Source organism: Homo sapiens, chromosome 4, assembly GCF_000001405.40.
Source record: "Homo sapiens chromosome 4, GRCh38.p14 Primary Assembly".
Classification (NCBI taxonomy): Eukaryota; Metazoa; Chordata; class Mammalia; order Primates; family Hominidae; genus Homo; species Homo sapiens.
In genome coordinates, this window is record NC_000004.12 from 48,386,792 (window position 1) to 48,409,447 (window position 22,656).

At 36.9% G+C, this 22,656-nt stretch overlaps 1 protein-coding gene across 3 annotated transcripts in view; it reads left to right on the forward strand.

Annotated features, from left to right (window-relative positions):
- SLAIN2 (SLAIN motif family member 2) overlaps positions 1-22,656 on the forward strand; it is an 84,673-nt gene that overhangs the window by 45,263 nt on the left and 16,754 nt on the right. For 2 of the 3 annotated variants that reach the window (XM_005248121.4, XM_047416023.1), the window contains exon 7: positions 7,785-7,862. The exons of the other annotated variant lie outside the window; for it this stretch is intronic. In XM_005248121.4, the coding sequence (XP_005248178.1) occupies positions 7,785-7,862 (78 nt within the window). The remainder of the gene's footprint in view (positions 1-7,784; positions 7,863-22,656) is intronic. 3 annotated transcript variants of the gene reach the window in all.

Here is a 22,656-nt window from a genome sequence, read left to right on the forward strand (position 1 = left end):
CACTTGAGAATATCCTGTTTCTGGCTTCTTTTTTCCCCTGACACATTTGGCTGATGCAAAAAAAACCACCCACAATGTTAATGTAACAGGAAAGAAAAATAGTAAATCATTAAGAAGGTTAAATAATAAAACTTATGTATATTATAAGCCATGCTTTTACAGCATGTGAACAGATGATCCAAAACAATGTTTGTACTTGGCTTTCAAAGATGCTTTCATATTTAGTTTGAACTGTTACATTCTGGATTTCTCAAAAGTTTACATGATACATGTCCAAACAGCATCCCAGATACTTTCTAAAACTAGCTATATCTATATCCTCTACCTCGTCCCCTCATACATGCTCTGTATTTGAACTATTCTAGCATGTCAAAGCTTTATGGAAATGAAAAATAATTCTTCACAAAAACAGAAGAAAAAACAAAAGGTTGGGAACCTAGGATAAAAATGTTAATAGAAATAATGCATTGTCTGTGTCTTAAACTTCACAATGATTGCTTGCCTTCTCTAGTGGTAGAATTACCATTTTGTAATTATAATCACCTGCTGATACCCTATAATTTTTTTTCTGTAGGTGAATTACTTTTCCTTTTTTTCCCAGAAGTTGATAATTAAGGAATATATATAGGGAAAACACAATGGGATTCCAATCATTGATTTACTTTTAAGTGGAAAGTATGTATGCAATTTCATAATGGTGTATTTCAGTACTTGAATATGTAGGCAGAAGAGAAAGTAAGGTACCATGTTTTTTTTTTTCCAATTGTATGTACTTGTTTATATTTGTAGCTGTAGTAAAGCTTATAATTAAAATGTCACATATTTATTTTGGTATAGAATTATACTGTTCTCAAAAATGTATTTGGAAAGTAGGAAATTCAAAATATTAGCAAGTTTAAAACTTAGTAAAGTTTACTTTAAAATGTTTAAAACTTTGTTGAAAGTTAACATGAAGCAAAAAAAGTGTTACCAATTTATCTTGAAATTTCATATATATTTGATACATGAAAATATATATGTAAGCATTTTTTAAATTAGTATACATAGTTTTCATAATAGTCTTTATATAATTTGTACAATTATTATAATAAGCTTTATATACTTTATACATGAATTGGTATTTTGTATTTTTTGTGTAAACTTCAGTTGTTAGTGTAACAGATGTTGCATTTTGTTTTAAGTATTTATTTTTTCAGCTCTTAAGTGGTAAAGCTTTGGTTCTTACTTGCTGGTCTGCATGAACCTAACTTTGCAAGGTTGCTGTTACTTCCACCTAAGGGATCACTTCTTTTGCCTTGTTACTATGCCAATCACTATTTTTATATGCTTATTTGCTGTGGCTGCATTATTGTGGATGCTGGCATTGAAATATGAGATTTATGAGAGTTCTAATGTATCTTCATTTTTATAACTATTACCAATTTTTGACTTTTATATTTGGAAAATATAACTTAAAAAGTTTAAGAAAACCAGAGCATTGCAGAGGTCATGGATACATGTCAATTTCTTAGTTTCATCAATTAAAGGAAGGAATGTTCGTGAGAGAGTTTTTCAAAAGGCTAATGCCTTGCTTTCTAAGACTGTTAAAGCACAGGTTTAGCAGAAAGTTTAGTTTCCAGAAAGTCATAGGAATAATTGGTTGAGAAATAAGGGAAGGGAGAAAAACCCAACACAATCTACTGATTTAAAAAATGATACCCAAATTTTATTTGTTTGTAAATGTTTAAGTGTATTATTTCATTTAAACATCAGAAATCATTTATTTTTATAGAAAGGGAACAGAGATCCATATAAATTAAATGAATTGTACAAGGCCATATAACTAGGGAAGTGGTAAAAGCAAGGCCAGATTTCTCCCTCTTCCCAGCTCCTCCCTGAGTCTCCTATTTTCCTCTTCCTCATTGTTTGGATGAGATCATGCTGACCTAATTACAAATGAGTGCATCTTGGAAAACATTCTTGAATGACTGTCAGACCATGATTTGAGATTAACTGTAAGTATTTTGTGAATTACCACAGACGAGTAAAATAATTTAGTGAGATATTATCCATTTGCTTACATTTAGCCAAACAAAAGAATATTTTTGCATGGAATACAGAGTATACCCCAGAGAAAATGCATATAGCATCAACATTGTACTTGGACCTCTTACTGAAGAGAGAAGGACGACTGTCCAGGGCAGTTGTCAGCTTATGCATAGCCATCCTGTTATGAGACCAGTGAGGAAGGAATTCCCATCCAGATTTCACTTACTACCAAAACACTAGTAGATTACACTTGAAATATACATAATTTTGAAACACAAATTGAAATAAATAAGTCATGATTAATATGTGTAATGTGCTAATCTAAGAATGAATGAAACATTTATAGAACATCTATTTAAGTAGTACAGTGATGTTGGCTCAGTTATCTAATCACAAGGACACTTTATAAAGGTAGTTTTTCTGGCCTTTACCGCTGGAAATTTTGATTGAATGCCCTTGGGATAGGGACCCAGATTGTGTATTTTAGAAGCATCTCAGTTGATTCTGGAGCACGTTCAAGTTTGAGAACCAGTGGGTTAAACCCTGACTTTGGTGGACCTTGAATGCTTAGTATAGAGTTCTGGATTTTATCCAGTGGTCAGTCACTTATGTGTTCCTTAATTATTCAGTAGATATTATTGGGTATATGTTATATTTCCAGCATTGGGAATATAAATGTTAAGACAGCCCACGCCTTCCAGTAGCAGGGAGAGTTAGACAGGAACCTCTGTGGGAACAGAGGAGAGGCATTAAATTCAGCAGTGTGAAGGGATTTTCAGGAAAGATATTAAAAGATATCTCAGCCAGCTCAGAAGGAGCTTATATGAGTTGCCCAACAAAGAAAGGAGATATAGGTTTTCCCAACAGTGGGATCAGTAATGAAAAGTCTTGAGAATGGCAGCCTGAGTATAGTGGTTTTGTATAACTAAAGTGTAGGGTGTATGATGGGTAAGGGAGCGGGTACAGCATCCCATGAGGGGATGATAGCTATAGAGACAGGACAGGCTGTAGGAGTTTTAAAATATCATAGGAGTTTGAATTTCATCCTGTAAGTGGGAGGAGCCATATTTGGCTTTTAATCAAGGTGGTTTCTTAGGAAGTTCACTCTGATATCAGTGTGGAGAAAAGATTCAGTGAGGTGAGACTAGAAACCACTTAGGCTATTATTGCATAATCTAGGCAAGAAATTAAGATCTGAAGACACAGCAGTGAGGGAGTGAGGGTGATGAGATCTGGATGAATTTTGTTTTCTTTTTTTCTTTTTCTTTTTTTTTTTTTTCCTGAGACTCTGTCTCCCAGGCTGGAGCGGCGGTGGCGTGATCACAGCTTACTGCAACCTCCACCTCCCAGGTTCCAGCAATTCCCCTGCCTCAGCCTCCCTCTTAGTAGGTGGGATTACAGGCACGCACCACCATGCCTGGCTAATTTTTTGTATTTTTAGTAGAGATGGAGTTTCACCATGTTGGCTAGGCTGGTCTTGAACTCCTCATCTTAAGTGATCCTCCCGCCTCGGCCTCCCAAATGACTCTAAATCAAAACTTCTAAGAAATAAAAGATTTAAACAAAAATGAGGTTATGGGACAATGGGGTATTTTACCTAGCAGTAATTAATCTTCACTCACAGAGGCTGTGCTTACTTAGTATTTAGCACCTAGAGAAGCTAATTTTTAACATCCTCTTATATATGAAAAAATCATTTTCAATTATCATGAAACTAGTTATAGTACTAATGGCCAGGAAAAAAATGCAGACAGTGAAAATATTCTTCTATTGAAATTGTATTTTATAACTGTCAGTAAAAAATAAATAATAAAATCAACATTATAATACAAAAATAGACAATGGGTTAATAATTTGAAGTTACATTGATCATTTTTTTAAAAAGGAAAAATGTTTTTATATATTGATCTGTCACAGTGGTGAATAGTATAGCTTTCGTTTTTGAAAACTTATCAATAGCTTCTTCAGAATTGATCTTTCGATATTGGGGCTTAGTACATCATAGCCAGATTTATCAATCTGTCTACTCTTACTTGATGGAAGAACACTATCTTTAAATTTTAATTTTGAAAGTTTTTTTCATGAAGCAACTGCTACACAGAGAAAATCTTCAGCATAAGGATAAGTTCAGCAGAGATTCTTAAAATTCCATCCTCCAGTAAATTCCAGAAATTGCCATACTTTCCTTGCCTTTGTTTTTGAAGGATCAAGTCTAATGATTTTTCAGTGTCTTCGCAGTTAAAATATTTTAAACACAAGCTCAAAATCGCATATAATGACAGAATTGAGGCAACTCCAAATCCTTTCATTGACTTTAAAAATCACTGTACCATTGTTGTTTATTTCTAATATGCTTAAATATAATAATATATTGTACCACAGGGTTGGAGGCACACATTTCGCTGAAGTGAGCTTGAATAATTTCAGATTGCTACCAACTTTCTCTTGAAAGGAACATGTGTAGTGGAATCCACCTGTATCAGGGGAGACTTTAAGTAGAAGACTGTAACTGGGAGCTTTCCTAATTAAGTCTTACATGAAGTGCGGTATTTATTAAAGTATAAGTCATAAAATGTGCTTACTTAAAGCTTACATGTGTGTTATTAAAACTCAACAGTTGTTTATAGCTTAGACCAACTATTTTTCAGGGAGGAGTGCTTTTATAACTGATGTTTATTATTGCTGGGGCATGATGATAATAGAAAGCCGACCAACTTGGTTTTATTTTTGTTTCCAAATTGCCTACAGACAATACACCCACTTATTGCCTACTCTTGGGGAGGTGAGCAGCACTTTCACCACCCTTCCCTTGATGTACATGAGCAGAGTGAAAAGGATTAACTATAGGGAGACCACAAAAAACACTGATTGGAATTCCAGAAATAGGGTGTGATGAAGGCCTGAATTTGGTTATTTAGGAGACAACAGGAATGTAAAGGAAGCGATAGATTTAAGAAATGACCAGAGATTAATAAATGGAATTTAAAGTAAGAAAAATTTGAGCTAGAATGACTTGGAAAATGGTGTTTTAACAGAAAAGAGATTTTTAAAGGAGCTGGTTTGTGGAGGAAGACATTATACTGGTAGCATGAAACAATAATTGTTTTGCACTAGCATCTTTGCTTCTCACAGTAAGGTATTGCTGAAGTGGAATTATCTAAATATTAAAATAACCAAAGAAAGTTTTAAACCATAAATATTTTCGAACAGCCAACACACTGAACTCTATTATTAGAAAGATTCAGAGTTTCACTTAAACTACTACACTTTGTCATTTAAAAGTGATTTTGTCTTAGAAAACTAATCAAATTAAGATAATTCAGAATAACATTGGATTTTTGTTATTTGAGTAACATTATATGACTGTGGTATTTTAGGAAAATCGTTCATTTCATTCTTTCTGTATCAGGTGAATTTAGAGTTTACTGCCTGATTCTGTGTGTAATCTGATTCTTCAGATTTCCCAGTTCACAGTTTTTGCTTGTCTGTAGATAACTGTTGTTATTACAATCACATGTGAAACTTGAGGGATAAATAGGGGTGGGGTCCATTGGAGTCGCCACAGCTATTAATTCAAATAGGATCCTTCCAGACGAGTTCATTATAGACGTTATTTAATATTGAATCCTTATTAAACTTTTTTTTAATGGTTAACAGTGTGGACTGTGATGTGGACTGTAGTGTATGTTCAATTGGTTACCTTTACCCTCATTTATTCCACCCAACAACTGGCCTACGTTCTGTTCTTCAAACATATCAGGCATGGTCCTATCTCAGTATCTTTTTCAATTGCTTTTCCCTCTATCTGGAATGCTTTCCCCACATATCTACATAGCTTACTTCCTATCTTTTTTCAGATTTCTATGCAAATGTCATCTTAGGGAAATCTTTCCTGATCACTCTATTTATAATTGCAACTTAAATCGCCTACTTCCTGTCCCTCTTTTCTACTTAATTTTCTCTTTAGCAGCTATCACTATCTGGCAGGCCATATATTTTACTGCCTCATTGTCTGTCTCCCCTTTCCTAGAATATTAGTTTCATGAGAGTGGGGACTGTAGCCATCTAGTTGCCTACTGGATACATTATACCTAAAACAGTACCTGGAATAAAGCAGATAATAAACTATTTGAATGAATGAAAAAAACAGGAACAAGTGAGTAGATGAATAAAAATATAAATGGTTGAAAACATGTATGAATATATATGTAGATGAAAAATACTCTGATAGTAACCTGTATTTTTGTGCAATAGAAGTAAGATAACCCATTGGCCGGGTGCAGTGGCTCACGCATGTAATTCCAGCACTTCGGGATGCCAAGGCGGGCAGATCACTTGAGGTCAAGAGTTCCAGACCAGCCTGGCCAATATGGTGAAACCCCGTCTCTACTAAAAATACAAAAATTAATACAAAAATTAAGGCAGAGCCTTGCTTCATCGACTATGCTGAATGGAGTGCAGTGGTGCAGTCACAGCTCACTGCAGCCATAACCTCCTGGGCTCAAGCACTCCTCCCACCTCAGCCTCCTGAATAGCTGGGACCACAGACACACCACCATGTCTGGCTTGTGTGTGTGTGTGTGTGTGTGTGTGTGTGTGTGTGTAGACAGAGTCTCCCTGTGCTGCCCAGGCTGATCTCAAACTCCTGGGCTCAAGCAAATCTTCCTGCCCTGGCCTCCCAAAGGCCTGTAAGTGCTGGGATTATAGGCATGAACCACCTCACTTGGCCAAGAAATCTTAATTCTTTCTGATAATATATCAAGTATCCCTTTATCAGCCCAATAACATTTATGCAGCCTAGCTAGGTTTAGAGTGACAAGAGCTCTCTTTTTTTGCACATAAACACTAAAGGTATATGAAGTCTGACTTTCAAATCAGCAGAGTAACTAAAATATTTTAGAGCTGCTTAAATACACTGGTAGGTGTGAGAGTCATCAGTCTGTCAGAGCCATAGTAACTGTATATTGGGGAAATTGGAACCACTTTTATCTTGGATGGCCCTGAGCTGCTGCTTACCTGTTAATTTTGAGTTTCAGTGCAGTTAATAGATTAGGAGTTTGGAAAAAAGCTTAGCTTTCCTCATGGAAAACTTTAAAAGGTAGAGATGGTCTGACTCCTCCAAACCCCTCAACCCACACCAGCATTACATAGCATGCTCCCCACTTGCATACGTATGTGCACAGCTTAGATATCCAAAGTCTGAGGTAAAAAATTAGTTGTACTCTACAAGATGATATTGAACATATTAAAGTTACTAGATTGTGACTCGCCAAGGACCTGCTGGGTTCTGAGTTTTCTTCTCCTTTTTGAGTATGCAGATTATGGTTTCACATTAGGGCAATTCATCTAACAATAACCGCTTTGCCAAAATCTGCTTTTTTTGCGTTGAACAAGTGCTGCACTTCATACTGTGTGCTTGTGTTCATCACTTTTTTCTTTGTATTCTTTGTATCCCTAGCATGTTTGTGGTGGTTTGTTTTCTCTTTGATATTTTGACCAATAGACATATTGGAGATTTTCTCACCTGTAAGAAACTCTTTTTTAAAGTTTATGTTCTATCCCCTTTTCTTTCCAACTTAATGCACTAAGCATCACTTTAAAATTCTTTTGCTTCTAGGATTCTAACATATTTGCACCTTATGGCTTCTGTTCTTTGATACATTTTTAAGTTTGTATTAAAACATTCAAGTTTACAGACGCTGTAGCCTTTGTCTTGTACTTCCAGGCAAATATTACAGTTCCTTATTTTTCAACAGCTTCGCAAAGGCTGAAAAATTTGCCTCGCACTTCCCTCAAAGCCAAACAGTTGCTTCAAACTTCATCTACAAAAAGAGGTAACTACAGCCTCTTACTCAGTTTAAAATTTCAGCAAATGATCTAGTTAAATCTTAAGCCATTTGGCATACTGAGTCAGTGGTGTCTGTAAGGCACATTTTAGTCTTATTTTAAAGAATAATAAAATAATGAGGATTTATTCTGTTATTTGGATAAATCCAGAAGAAACATTTTCTACAGAGGTATGTATTGGGTTGCTTTTCTGAAAGGAGTAAATGATATATAGAGAATATATTTTTCTTACCCACTTAAAATGAAAGGGCATCATTTCAACTTTTTGCCAACTGAACTTCATAAGTGCTTTAAAATGAACCAAATGTCAGACATTCTGTATGTTGATGTTTTTTCCTCAGACTTCAATTTTTACTTTTACTTACCTGTGTAAAATGGGAACACTTCCACATTAGAAGGTAGTTGAAGTTAAATCACAAGTTGTGGTTGATTGATAGGTCTGGAATGTTTATGGAGTGGTAGCTTTCATAATAATAGTTGAAGAAATATATGAAGGTCGGACATCAAAGCTGTCCAATATTGGTTCCAAGACACTGAATGTATGGGCAGCTAGATGGAAGTAGAATTAAGAGAAAACAGTGGGATTGGATAGACCAACAGTAATAAAAACAAACAGAGGCCTCAAAGGAAATGGTATGAAACAAAGAGGAAAAGTATTTTTCCTATCCAGAACATGTAGGTTTTCTGATAGCTTTAGATCTCACTAAACAACCAAAATATGTAACAGAGATAAAGCACTAAAGAAAATTACGCAGGAAGAAGAAATTAGATTTTTTTTGAAAAAAAAAAGGAAAAGAAAAAATTTGGTTACGTTTACAAAAGTGCTATAATAGAAGTTTTGGCAAATTTATTACTGCAAATGTTTTTGCACTGATTTCTTGGATTGAGTATAATTTAAGGAAATAGTTTTAGATAATAGGATTTGAAGGTAAGTCAAATAGGCAAATAAAAAAGCAGAATGTATGAATGTTTGTATTTTGAATATCAGAAGTTGACCATGGGCCTCCAATATGAATGTTTTTTGGTGCCATGGTCAGGTATGTTAGTAATAGACTGGATAGATTATGTTTGATGGGAAAGGAGGTGACTTAATAGGGGTTATTATAGAAAGGGGTTTTTGTGGACTTATTTGGGAACCTTAGGCTTTTTTTTTTTTTTTTTTGAGACTTTTCAATATTTTTTAGTACTTCCATGGCTAGGGGTAGGAGGCATATAAAAACATGAACCTGAAAACACTGTGGTATCTAAACTAGGGCAGGAGATCACTATACCATAATAAAAGAGTAGAAGATTTTAAGTTTATATAAATTTTGTTGTTTGCCTCTGTAAGCTGTTTCATAATGTTTTTTGGAATTAAGTAGGTTTACATAACTTAAAATTTTTACCTAAAGATTTCATGTTGCTGTGTTGATCAGGTTAAGAAAACCATAACTTCTAGCTGAATTTTTAAAATTTGCCTATAGGGGTTACATTATTTTTATCACTCCAAGCTACCAAACTACCTATCCTCTCTGATAAGATAACAGGAAAGCCCAAACTTGGAACTGTTATGAACTGGAATTCTTGGCATCTCTAGCTGTCTTGTTGACTTAGTAAAGGTAAAGAAGGGGGAGGAGGGGCAGGGGGTGTGCTATTCTGTTTTGTTTAATCCCTTACTTATTTAAATTGATCCAGACTTCTATATTTTCTGATTAGTATTGTGACGTGGGCATTATCATTACCTACCTCTTCTCTGTAAATTTTTAACCAGTTGAGAAATGGACACAGATATAAGGTAAGATTTAAAATATTAGCTTAATAATTGATGAAGCTGAGATGGAGAATATCTTTTGGATCCAAGGCCAAAATGGATTTTCTGATTTCCCCTCATATCGAGACATTAAAGGGAGGGGTCTGCATTGACTGGCAGGAGCCTCTTCTCTTGTGGGGTTGTGAGGCACACAGGAGACAAAGGCCACCTGTTCACAGGTATATTTGGCATATTAAACGTGTCCAGTAAAGAAACATGGACCAACAGGTGATAAATTGGCACACAAATCAATTCATCCATCCTGGGGATGAACCTGTACAATTGTCTAGAAAGCTAATATATCGTAGGGGTGACAGGATCATGGGAGGAGGAAAAAGATTACTTAACAATTGGAAATATAGTCACTTTGATTTTAATTGCATTTAGTAGTAGCAGGTGTTTGAAAATGGAAAGTAAGAACTGTGTTGCTTGGCACAGTCACTCCATAAATATTTGTTGAATGAATATAGTCATGCTACTAAAGTCAAAAAAGGATGGACACGTTCTTCTTTGCATTTTCTTTTTGCAAGTTTTTTGTGTTTCTTCAGCCTATCCCACTCTGAAGAAAACAATCCAGTCTATATTTTTAAGACTTCATGGAAGTGGCTATTTAAACTGCTTTGAGAAAGATTTTATTCATTCCCTGTTGTTGGGCACTGAGTGAAGTGGAGGTAAATAGGGCAGAGACCTCACCAAGCCAGCGGGAAAAAATGAAGACTAATTAGACAAAGTGAATGCAGAGATAACAGGATATTAATTCCTTCTTAGTTGCCTCTTTCCTTCTAAACACCCCATTAAAAAATGGGCAAAGGACATGAACAGACACTTCTCAAAAGAAGACATTCATGCGGCCAACAAACATATGAAAGTTCTTGCCTCTTCTGTATTTAGAAGGAAAGAGGCAACTAAGAAGGAAATACAGAAGGAAAGAGGCAACTAAGAAGGAATTAATGATGGTAATTGTTTAATACTCTTTTCACTATATTTTGAGATACGTTGAAATAAACAGTATTTATAGAAGACCTTAATGATAAGATTTTTGTTTTTCCTTCAATTTTTATTTTAAGTTTTGGGGTACATGTGCAGGATGTGCAGGTTTGTTACATAGGTAAATGTGTGCCCTGGTGGTTTGCTGCACAGATCAACCTATCACCTAGGTATTAAGCCCAGCATTCATTAGCTATTCTTCCTGATGCTGTCCCTTCCCCCGCCGCCCCTGACAGCCGCCAGTGTGTGTTGTTCCCCACAGTGTGTCCATGTGCTCTTACTGTTCAGCTCTAACTTGTGAGAACATGGGGTGTTTGGTTTTCTGTTCCTGCATTAGTTTATTGAGAATAATGGCTTCCAACTCCATCTATGTCCCTGCAAAGGACATGAACTCTTTCTTTCTTATGGCTGCATAGTACTCCATGGTGTATATGTACCACATTTTCTTTATCGAGTCTGCCATTGATGGGTATTTGGGTTGATTGCATGTCTTTGCTGTTGTGAATAGTGCCGCAATGAACATACACATGCGTGCATACATCTTTATAATAGAATGATTTATATTCCTTTGAACATACACCCAGTAATGGGATTGCTGGGTCAAAAGGTATTTCTGCTTTTAGATCTTTGAGGAATCACCATGCTGTCTTCCACAGTGGTTGAACTAATTTACACTCCCACCAGCAGTCTAAGTGTTCCTTTTTCTCCACAGCCTCGCCAGCCAGCATCTGTTGTTTCTTGCCATTCTGACTGGTGTGAGATGGTATCTCATTGTTGTTTTGATTTGCATTTCCCTAATGATCAGTGATGATGCGCTTTTTTTCATGTTTGTTGGCCCCATGAATGTCTTATTTTGAGAAGTGTCTGTTTATGTTCTTTGCCTACTTTTTAATAGGGTTGTTTGTTTTTTTCTTGTAAATTTGTTTCAGTTCCTTGTAGACTCTGGATAGTAGACCTTTGTCAGATGGATAGATTGCAAAAACTTTCTCCCATTCTGTAGGTTGCCTGTTCACTCCGATGATAGTTTCTTTTGCTGTGCAGAAGCTTTTTAGTTTAATTAGATCCCATTTGTCAGTTTTTGCGTTTGTTGCAATTGCTTTTGGCATTTTCATCATGCAACCTTTGCCCATGCCTGTGTCCTGAATAGTATTGCCTAGGTTTTCTTCTAGGGTTTTTATAGTTTGGGGTTTTACATTAAAGTCTTTAATCCATCTTGAGTAAATTTTTTATAAGGTGTAAGGAAGGGGTCTAGTTTCAATTTTCTGCATATGGCTAGCCTGTTCTCCTAGCACCATTTATTAAATAGGGAATCCTTTCCCCATTGCTTGTTTTTGTCAGGTTTGTCAAAGATCAGATGGCTGTAGATGTGCAGTCTTATTTCTGAGTTCTCCCTTCTGTTCCATTGGTCCATTTGTCTGTTCTTGTACCAGTACTATGCCGTTTTGGTAACTCTAGCCTTGTAGTATAGTTTGAAGTCAGGTAGCATGATGCTTCCAGCGTTGTTCTTTTTGCTTAGGATTGTCTTGGCTATTGGGGCTCTTTTTTGGTTCCATATGAATTTTAAAATAGTTTTTTTCTAATTCTGTAAAGAATGTCAGTGGTAGTTTAATGGGAATAGCATTGAATCCATAAATTACTTTAGGCAGTATGGCCATTTTCATGATATTATGATATTGATTCTTCCTATCCATGAGCATGGAATGTTTTTCCATTTGTTTGTTTCCTCTCTGATTTCCTTAAGCAGTGGTTTGTGGTTTTCCTTGAAGAGGTCTTTCATTTCCCTTGTTAGCTGTATTCCTAGGTATTTTATTCTTTTTGTAGCATTGTGAATGGGAGACCATTCATGATTTGGCCCTCCGCTTGCCTGTTTTTGGTGTATAGGAATGCTAGTGATTTTTGCACATTGATTTTGTATCTTGGGACTTGGCTGAAGTTGCTTATGAGCTTAAGAAGCTCTTGAGCTGAAATGATGGGGTTTTCTGGATATAGAATAATGTCATCTGCAAACAAAGATAATTTGACTTCCTCTCTTCCTGTTTGAATACGCTTTATTTTTTTCTCTTACCTGATTGCCCTGACCAGACCTTCCAAAACTATGTTGAATAGGAGTGGTGGGAGAGAGCATCGTGGTCTTGTGCTGCTTTTCAAAGGGAATGTTTCAAGCTTTTGCCCATTCAGTATGATATTGGCTGTGGGTTTGTCGTATGTGTCTCTTTTTATTTTGAGGTATTTCCTTCAATACATAGTATATTGAGAGTTTTTAACGTGAGGGGATGTTGAATTTTATTGAAGACCTTTTCTGTGTCTATTGAGATAATCATGTGGTTTTTGTCTTTAGTTCTGTTTATGTGATGAATTACATTTATTGATTTGCGTATGTTGAACCAACCTTGCATCCCGAGGATAAAGCCAACTGGATCTTGGTGGATAAGCTTTTTGATGTGCTGCTGGGTTCAGTTTGCCAGTATTATATTGAGGATTTTTGCATCAACATTCATCAGGGATATTGGCCTGATGTTTTCTTTTTTGTTGTATCTTTGCTAGGTTTTGGTATCAGGATGTTGCTGGCCTCATAAAATGAGTTAGAGAGGAGTCTCTCCTTTTCAATTGTTTGGAATAGTTTCAGTAGAAATTGTACCAGCCATTCTTTGTACCTCTGGTAGAATTCAGCTGTGAATCTGTCTGGTATTGGGCTTTTCATTGATTGGCAGGCTATTTATTACCTCCTCAATTTCAGAACTCATTATTGGTTTATTCAGGGATTCAGTTTCTTCCTGGTTCAGTCTTGGGAGGGTGTATGTGTCCAGGAATTTATCTATTTCTTCTAGATTTTCTAGTTTATGTACATAGAGGTGTTTATAGTATTATCTGATGGTTGTTTGTATTTCTCTTGGGTCACTGGTGATATTCTCCTTATAATTTCTGATTGTGTCTGTTTGATTCTTCTTTTTTTTTTTTTTTTTTTTTTTTTTGAGACAGAGTCTTGCTCTGTCGCCCAGGCTGTAGTGCAGTGGCATAATCTTGGCTCACTGCAAGCTCCTCTGCTTCCTGGGTTCAAACAGTTCTCATGCCTCAGCCACCCAAATAGCTGGGATTACAGGCATGTGCCACCACGCCTAGCTAATTTGTTTGTATTTTTAGTAGAGATGGGGTTTCACTATGTTGGCCACACTTGTCTTGAACTCCTGTCCTCAAGTGATCGCCCGCCTTGGCCTCACAGAATGTTGGGATTACAGGCGTGAGCCACTGTGCCTGGTCCCTTTTCTTCTTTATTATTCTAGGTAGTAGTCTATTTTATTAATTAAAAAAAAAGCTTCTAAATTCGTTTGTTTGTTTGTTTGTTTTTTTAAGGGTTTTTCTTGTCTCTATCTCCTTCAGTTCTTCTGCTAGCTTTGGAGTTTGTTTGCTCTTGGTTCTCTAGTTCTTTTAGTTGTCGTGTTAGGTTGTTGATTTGAGATCTTTCTAGCTTTGTGATGTCAGCATTTAGTGCCGTAAATTTCCCTCTTAACATTGCCTTAGCTGCATCCTAGAGATTCTAATATGTTGTCTCTTTGTTCTGATTAGTTTCAAAGAAAGTCTTGATTTTTGCCTTAATTTCATTATTTACCCAAGAGTCTTTCAGGAACAGGTTGTTCACTTTCCATGTAGTTGTGTGGTTTTGAGTGGATTTCTTAATCTTGAGTTTTAATTTGATTGTGCTGTGGTCTGAGAGACTGTTATGATTTCAGTTCTTTTGCATTTGCTGAGGACTATTACATGATCAATTTTAGAGTAAGTGTTGTGTGGTGATCAGAAGAACGTATATTCTGTTGTTTTTGTTTGGGGAGTTTTGTAGACATCTATCAGGTCCACTTAATTCAGAGCTGGGTTCAGGTCCTAATATCTTTGTTAATTTTCTGTCTCGATGTTCTGTCTAATATTGTCAGAGGGGTGTTAAAATCTCTCACTATTATTGTGTGGGAGTCTAAGTCTCTTTGTAGGTCTCTAAGAACTTGCTTTATGAATCTGGGTGCTCCTGTATTGGGTTACATATATACTTAGGATAGTTAGCTCTTCTTGTTGAATTAAAAACCCTTTACCGTATGTAATGCCCTTCTTTGTCTTTTTTGATCTTTGTTGGTTTAAAGTCTGTTTTGTCAGAAAGTAGGATTGCAACCCCTGCTTTTTTCTGTTTTCCATTTGCTTGGCAAATTTTCATTCATCCCTTTATTTTCAGCCTGTATGTGTCTTTGCATGTGAGATGGGTCGCTTGAAGACAGCATGGGTCTTGACTCTTTATCCAGCTTGCTACTCTGTGTCTTTTAATTGAGGCATTTAGCCCATTTACATTTAAAGTTAATATTGTTATGTGTGTATTTGATCCTGTCATGATGTTAGCTCGTTATTTTGCAGACTTGTTTATGTGGTTACTTTACAGGATCACTGGTCTGTGTACTTCAGTGTGTTTTTGTAGTGGCTGGTAATGGTTTTTCCTTTCCATATTTAGTGCTTCCTTCAGGAGCTCTTGCAAGGCAGACCTGGTGGTGATGAATTCCCTCAGCATTTGCTTTTCTGAAAAGGATCTTATTTCTCCTTCACTTATGCAGCTTGGTTTAGCCAGATATGAAATTCTGGGTTAGAAATTCTTTTCTTAAGGAATGTTGAATGTTGACCCCCCAATCTCTTCTGGCTTTGTAGTGTTTATGCTGAGAGGTCCTCTGTTAGTCTGATGGGCTTTCCTTTGTAGGTGACCTGGCCTTTGTCTCTGGCTGCCCTTAATTTTTTTTTTTTTTCCTTCATTTCGACCTTGGAGAATCTGATGATTATGTGTCTTTGGGTTGGTCTTCTTGCGGAGTATCTTACTAGGGTTCTCTGGATTTCCTGAATTTGATTATTGACCTTGTCTTGCTAGGTTGGGGAAGTTTTCCTGGATGATATCCTGAAGTATGCATTCCAACTTGATTCTGTTCTCCCCATCTCTTTCAGGTACCCCAGTCATTCATCGGTTTGGCCTTTTTACATAATCCCACATTTGTTCATTCCTTTTTCTCTATTCTTTTCTGCCTGTCTTATTTCAGAAAATAGTCTTCAGACTCTGAGATTCTTTCCTCCACTTGGTCTCTTCTGCTGTTGATACTTGTTATTGCATTGTGAAGTTTTCATGTTGTGTTTTTCAGCTCCATCAGGTCAGTTATGTTCCTCTCTAAACTAGCTATTCTGGTTGTCAGCTCCGGTATTGTTTTATCATGATTCTTAGCTTCTTTGCATTGGGCTCAGCAAAGTTCAGAACCCTACTTCTGTCAATTCAGCTGTCTCAGCCTCAGCCCAGTTCTGTGCCCTTGCCGGAGAGATGTGGTCATTTGGAGGAGAATACAAATTCTGGCTTTTTGAGTTTTCAGTGTTTTTGCATTGATTCTTTTTCATCTTTGTGGGCTTATCTACCTTTGATCTTTGAGGTTGCTGACCTTTGAATGGGGCTTTTGTGCGGTCCTTTTTGTTGATGTTGTCGTTGCTTTCTGTTTTTAACAGTCAGGCCCTTCTTCCATAGGGCTGCTATGGTTTTCTGGGGGTCCATTCCAGACCCTAGTCACCTCAGTCCCTCCTGCATCTGGAGGTATCACCAGTGAAGGCTGCAGAACAGCAAAGATGGCAGCCTGTCCCTTCCTCTGGGAGCTCCGTCCCAGGGGGACACTGACCTGATGCTGGCCCGAACTCTCCTTTATGAGGTATCTGGAGACCCCTGTTGGGAGGTCTCAGGCAGTCGGGAGGAATGGGATCAGGGTCCCACTTACAGAAGATGTCTGGCTGCCCTTTTGTGGAGCAGGTGTGGTGCTCTGGGGGGATCCCCTTTTGTCCAGACTGCTCTGACTCTCCAGAGCCAGCAGGCTGGAAAGGCTGTTGGCTGAACCACAGAGACAGCGGTCGCTCCTCCTCCAGGGGCTCCATCATCAGAGTTCTGTTCGTATAACCCTGGCTGGAGTTGCTGAAATTCTCACAGGGAGGCCTTGCCCAGTGAGGAGGGATGGATCAGGGTCCCACTTAAAGAAGCAGTCTGGCCACGATCTGGCACAGCAGCTGTGCTGCATTGTGGGGAACTCCTGGTCTGGACCATCTGGACTTTCCAGAGCCAGCAGGCTAGCACAGCTGACTCCAACCACAGAGATGGCGGCCACCCTTCCTCCCAGGAGTTCGGTCTGTGTCAGGCAGTCTCCAGCCTGCTACCACTGGCTGGCTGGAATTCCAAGCCAGTAGGTCTTGTGAGGTGCCGTGGGAATGGAGCCCAGAGAACACTGCTGCCTGGTTCCTTGGATTCAGCCCCCTTCCTAGGGTAATGCATGGAGGGATCTCCTGCCTTGCATGAATTCCTGGAACTGGAGTATGCAAAACTACTGGGTCTCCGTGAGTGCCTGAGTGGCCATTCTGCGGAGACGCCACACAGCTTTGTGCTTTGGATCCTAGGCTGTGGTGGCGTGGGCTTGTGAGGGAATCTCTTGATCTGTGGGTTGCAAAGATCCGTGGGAGAAGCGTGGTTTCCCAAGTCAGGGCAGGGTTGCACAATCACTCACCACCTTTCTTGGCTGGCGATGGGGGCTCTCCTGGCTCCATGCTGCATCCAAGTGGGCCATTGCCTCACCCTGCTTCTTTTCCTCTTTCTCCATGGGGTCAAGCTGTTCGCCTAGTCAGTCCCAGTGCGAGAACCTGGATACCTCAGTTCAAGGTGCAGAATGAACTCACTCTTTCTTTCCTCTTTTCATTCCTCTCTGTGAGAGCTGCAGACCACTGCTACTTCCAATTGACCATCTTGGCCCACCCTCCGACTTTTGCATTTCTAATGATTAGATTTTAAAATGCCTTTTGATATTAGACTACTTGAAAATGGAGAATGAAAGAATTTTGTGATTACCTAGGATTCAAAATTAAAAATTGTCTTCTCTTTTCTATCAGCTGACAAGTATTTATTGAATCTGTATCAGAAACAAGATACACTCATTATATCCTTCCTCTTTGCTTCTCTATTCTAGCCCCTCTTTGCTTTCTCCTCTTACAGTTGTGTTCAAAACTAGCTTCTGACATACACAGACTTCTTAGAAACAATTAAAATGATAGGAGTTGTTTCCCCTCCTATGATTTTGATATGTAAAATTTGGAGAATGAGAGAAGAAAGAGCATGGAGGCTGTTCTTGAGGTTCCCTCCAAACACACATTCCTGTTAGACCATTTCATGCCAGTTTTGGAATGATAACATTATAGGGTTTATTTTACATTTAGACTTAATAATGTTTTTATGGCTTTCTAAGGCCTTTGTCTTTCTCTGTAGTTAAATCTTGATTACAGCTGTCAATTTCCTTTGCTGAGAAAGTCCTAGGTCAAAACTCTTTAAAGGTCACCTGTATCCAATCAACCTCATTATATTTTTATTGTTCCCTGGCCCACATGTTTATAAATGAGTCAAAATGCTGCTGCCGTGAAACATTTTTTCCAATAGTATAACTGCAGCTTAGTATACCTCTTGAAATCCTCTCTAGTTTCCCCTCCACTTATACATAAACTTTGTTAAAGTATTTCTCTCCATATCTTGATGTTGTAGGACTTTACTTGTTCTTTCATAGACTGTGTTGCATTTATCTAATAATTTAGGGATTAATAAATTTATAATGATTTCTGGTTTATAAATCTGTTTTTAAACTTTGCTATTTTTAAATAAAACACGAAATCAGAAAACCAATGCACAGTTTAATTAATTCTTATACGGCAAACGCCCTTACCATCCATATCAGGAGACTAGAACTTGGCACCTCTGACATCGTCCACCTGTCTGCTTCCAAACACAACCCTCTCTTGACCCCTCCCCAAAAAGTATCTACTCTTCTGAACTTTCATAGCAGTCACTTCCTTTTTTGTATAGTTTTATCATCCAAGTTTTGAAACTAGTTTTGCCTTTTTGATATGTCTTTTTAAGTTTCTCTTACTTTATCGTTTTCTTCCATTTCTTTTCTCTCTCTCTCTCTCTCATTGTTTGTTTCTTAGAAGAAACCACCAGATCATTTGTTCTGCAGAGGTTCTTACAGGCTGAACTTTGCTGATTACTTTTTCATGGCTTTGTTTAGCAAGTTCCCTTGTATTTTCTATAAAGTGATAGTTGGATCTAGACAATTAATTGAATTGTTTTGCTATTTTTTGCAAAACTATTTTTTTTTTTGCATAGGTAGTAGTGCTTCTTTATCCAAAGGTGCATAAAGTGGGGTTTCCTCTTTTCATGATGTTAGCAGTCATTGATGTGTAATGCCTAGATTCATAATTCATTAGTTATTACAGAATTGGGAATTTTAATTCCCGTGTTCCTTTTTTTATTTGTCAAAATACTGTATAAAGAGAATTTTTTCCTTATTTGGTCACCCAGTGGTAGTTTCTTTAGGAAATTCAGACCAAATATTTGTTCTTTCCCTTTATTTACTAGTTTACAAAATTAAAAAATGGCAACGTGGCACCTTCCAAAGGTGGCCAGTTTTAAAAAATGTTTTTCATTATGAAATTACAGATTTAAACGTATTTTTTAATACATTTCAGGTCATTCTAGATGTTTTTCCAACTTTGCTGGAAGCCTCTACAAGTTGGATTCCAAGTCTTTTTGACACAACTCTAGTAGTCTTTGATACCGTCTTGCTAACTGGTATGACAAGATTGGCTGGTCTTGTACATTTCTTGCCAGAGACCTGGAGTCAGGCATTTCTCCAAAAAGTCCTGCTTGCTTTTGGTAGGCAATGGTATTTCAAGACCAAAATCTGTGTGTTTAGCTATACTTATTGCTACTGGGTTGGTCATTGTTTCCAGGTCTTTTTAGTTACTAGAGCTAGGAAACGTGTAGGTTTGTGTTTGTATATTTTTTTAATATTAAATGCAGAGCTTGTGGGCAATTATTTAACCTCCTTTAGCATTCTCTCATCCTGAGAATCTTATTTCTTAGCAACACATAGAATTAGAATATCATAATAATTTGTTTTGTCCCATATTTCACATAAAGTGTTCTTGGAATAACATTAGCGTAACATACAATATGTTTACTGAAAACAATTTTTACAACTTTTGGTTATGCTCTCTCTCTCTTTTTTTTTTTTTTTTTTTTAAGTTAAGCTATATCCACATTGTCAGATACCTGTTACATACTATTTTCTCCTTCACATACCTCATTTAGTTTAGGCTCTCCGTTTAAATACATGTTTGATGCCTAATGCCAGTTTATATGTCATTGTCTCATCAGTCATTTTTCTTGTCTGAAGCTTATTCTGTAATAGATTCCTTAAGGAATTATGAGAACAGTATTCATTCTTTCAATTTTTGCATGTTGATGATAACTTATCTCTTGTTTTCATACTTGAAAGTAATTGTCTAGATATGAAATCTTTGGCTCACTTTTTCTTTAACTTAAATGTATTACTCCACCTTCTGCAGGAATAAAGAATTGTTTCTGTTATAATCATTTGGTCTTTTTATCTGGATGTACAATAGATATTTTCTTTTTCTTTATAATAATTTACTAGAATATGTCTTAGTATTGATCATTCTGAGCTGATTTTCCCAGATTCGGGGTATGTTCTTTCATTATAGAGTAGCAAACTTTGTTTTTCAGAAAAGTTTTATTGAATTATAGTTTTTTATATTCTGTTCTCTTGCTTTGGTTTTCTTTTTTGTGGGAACTCCTGTTGTATGCATGTTCGAGGTTCGTTTCTTGTTTCTAATATTTGTTGCCTTCTCTCGAATTATTTTTTTTCTTCTAAAAGTTTGTTTTCATTGTCTGTTTCTCTTACATTATGTATTGTGTATATTGACTCTTATGTTTCTCCTTAGTCTTCTTCTTAAAATGATTCATTTTATAGCCAATTCCTTCCTGAGTTCCATCAGCTCATTTCTGAGTGTTTGTCACTCCGATTTATGCTATTCTTTCGTATCTTGTAGCAATATTAAAATGTTTTTAAAATGTGAAATAATAGATAATTTCATCTTTGTGTGTATGATTTCTTACCATGATTTCTGGTAAGATTTCACTTCTTGTAGAAGAGTTACTCTACTCCTTATTTAAATTCTTTTTTTTCTTGTAATAACTTTATGTGTGATTTGACTTCAGTCCTTTTCTATTGCTCATTTTTCCATGAAATTGATTTTTCTAAACACTTAGCTTGATTTAAGACTTACTAATTTTATGGTTCTTAGCTCTCTCTCGTATTTGGAAGTGTTCAGAAACATGGCTGCTTATTTTCTGAGATTTCTTTCCTTTATTCCCTCACTCCACTTTCAAAATTACCCTTTCTTAAAGTGTACTATTTGGTGTTTTTTAGTATATTCACAGAGGGAGAAACCATTACCACTATCTTATTTTAGAAGATATTTATCACCCCCATAAGAAACCCCATACTTATTAATAGAACTCCTCATTCCTCACTTCTTCCAGCCCCTGGCACCCACTCATCTACCCTCTCTGTCTCTAGATTTGCCTATGTTGGACATTGGATATAAATGGAATTATACAATATATGATCTTTTGTGACTGGCTTCTTTTACTTAGCATAATGTTTTCTAAGTTCGTCATTCTGTAGCATGTATCAGTATAGTCATTTGCTGCATAACAGAGTTTCAGGGCCAGGCACAGTAGCTCATGCCTATAATGCCAGCACTTTGGGCGGCTGAGGTAGGAGGATCATTTGAGCCCATGAGTTTGAGATCAGCCTGGGCAACATAGTGAGACTACATCAGAAAAAATAAAATAGACAGGCATGGTGGCACGCACCTGTGGTCCCAGCCACTCAGGAGGGTGAGGTTGGAGGATTGCTTGAGTTTCAAGAGGTTGAGGCTGCAGTGAGGTGTGATCGCACCACTTCCAGCTTGGGCAACAGAGCAAGACAACCCTATCTCAAAAAATCTAAAACGAACAAAAAAAAAAACACGACATTTCAGTCAACAGTGGATTGCGTGTACGATGGTGGCAATTTCTATCACCTAGTAACATCATAGACCTTCCAATAGGATAAGATGTGGAGGTGGAAGATAGTGATATTGATGATCCTAACCCTGTATAGGCTTAGGCTTATGTGTGTGTTTCTGTCCGTTTTTAGCAAAAAAAAAAAAAAAAAAAATTCAGGTGAAATAAATAAAAATTTAAAATTAAAAAACACTTGTAGAATAAGGATATAAAGAAAGAAAATATTTTTGGACAGCTGTACAACATGTTTGTGTTACAAGCTATGTGTTATTACAAAAGAGTCACGTTTTTAAGTTAAAGCTTATAAACTAAAATAGTTAACAGTAAGCTAAGGTTAATTTATTATTGAAGAAAAATAAATTTAGTGTAGCTTAAGTGTGTAGTATTTATAAGGTTTGCAGTAGGGTGTACCCTACTGCAGACTTTCACATTCACTTACCACTCACTCAATTTCAGTTCTATAAGCTCCATTCATGGAAAGTGCCCTATACAGATGTACCATATTTTGTCTTTTATAACATTTTTACTGTACTTTCTCTATGTTTAGATATGTTTGGATATGCAAATGCCGTTGTGTTACAATTGCCTACAGTATTCAGTACAGTAGCATGCTGTATTGGTTTGTAGCCTAGGAGCCATAGACTATTTTTAAAAATTTTTTGTGTGTACATAGTAGGTGTGTGTATTTATGGAGCACATGAGATATTTTGATACAGGCAAGCAATGTGAAATAATAACATCACAGAGAATCAGGTCCCCATCCCCTCAAGCATTCATCCTTTGTGTTACAGACAATCCAATTACACTCTTTAAGGTATTTTAGAATATACAATTAAGTTATTGTTGACTATAGTCACCTGGTTGTGCTATCACATAGTAGGTCTTTCTCTATTTTTTTTTGGTATCCATTAACCATCTCCACCTCCCCCGACCCTGCCATCAGCTATTCCATATAGCCTAGGTGTGTAGTAGCTTAAATCACTTAGGTTTGCATAAGTACACTCAGATGTTCCTACACGGACAAACTTGCCTAATGATTCATTTCTCAGAA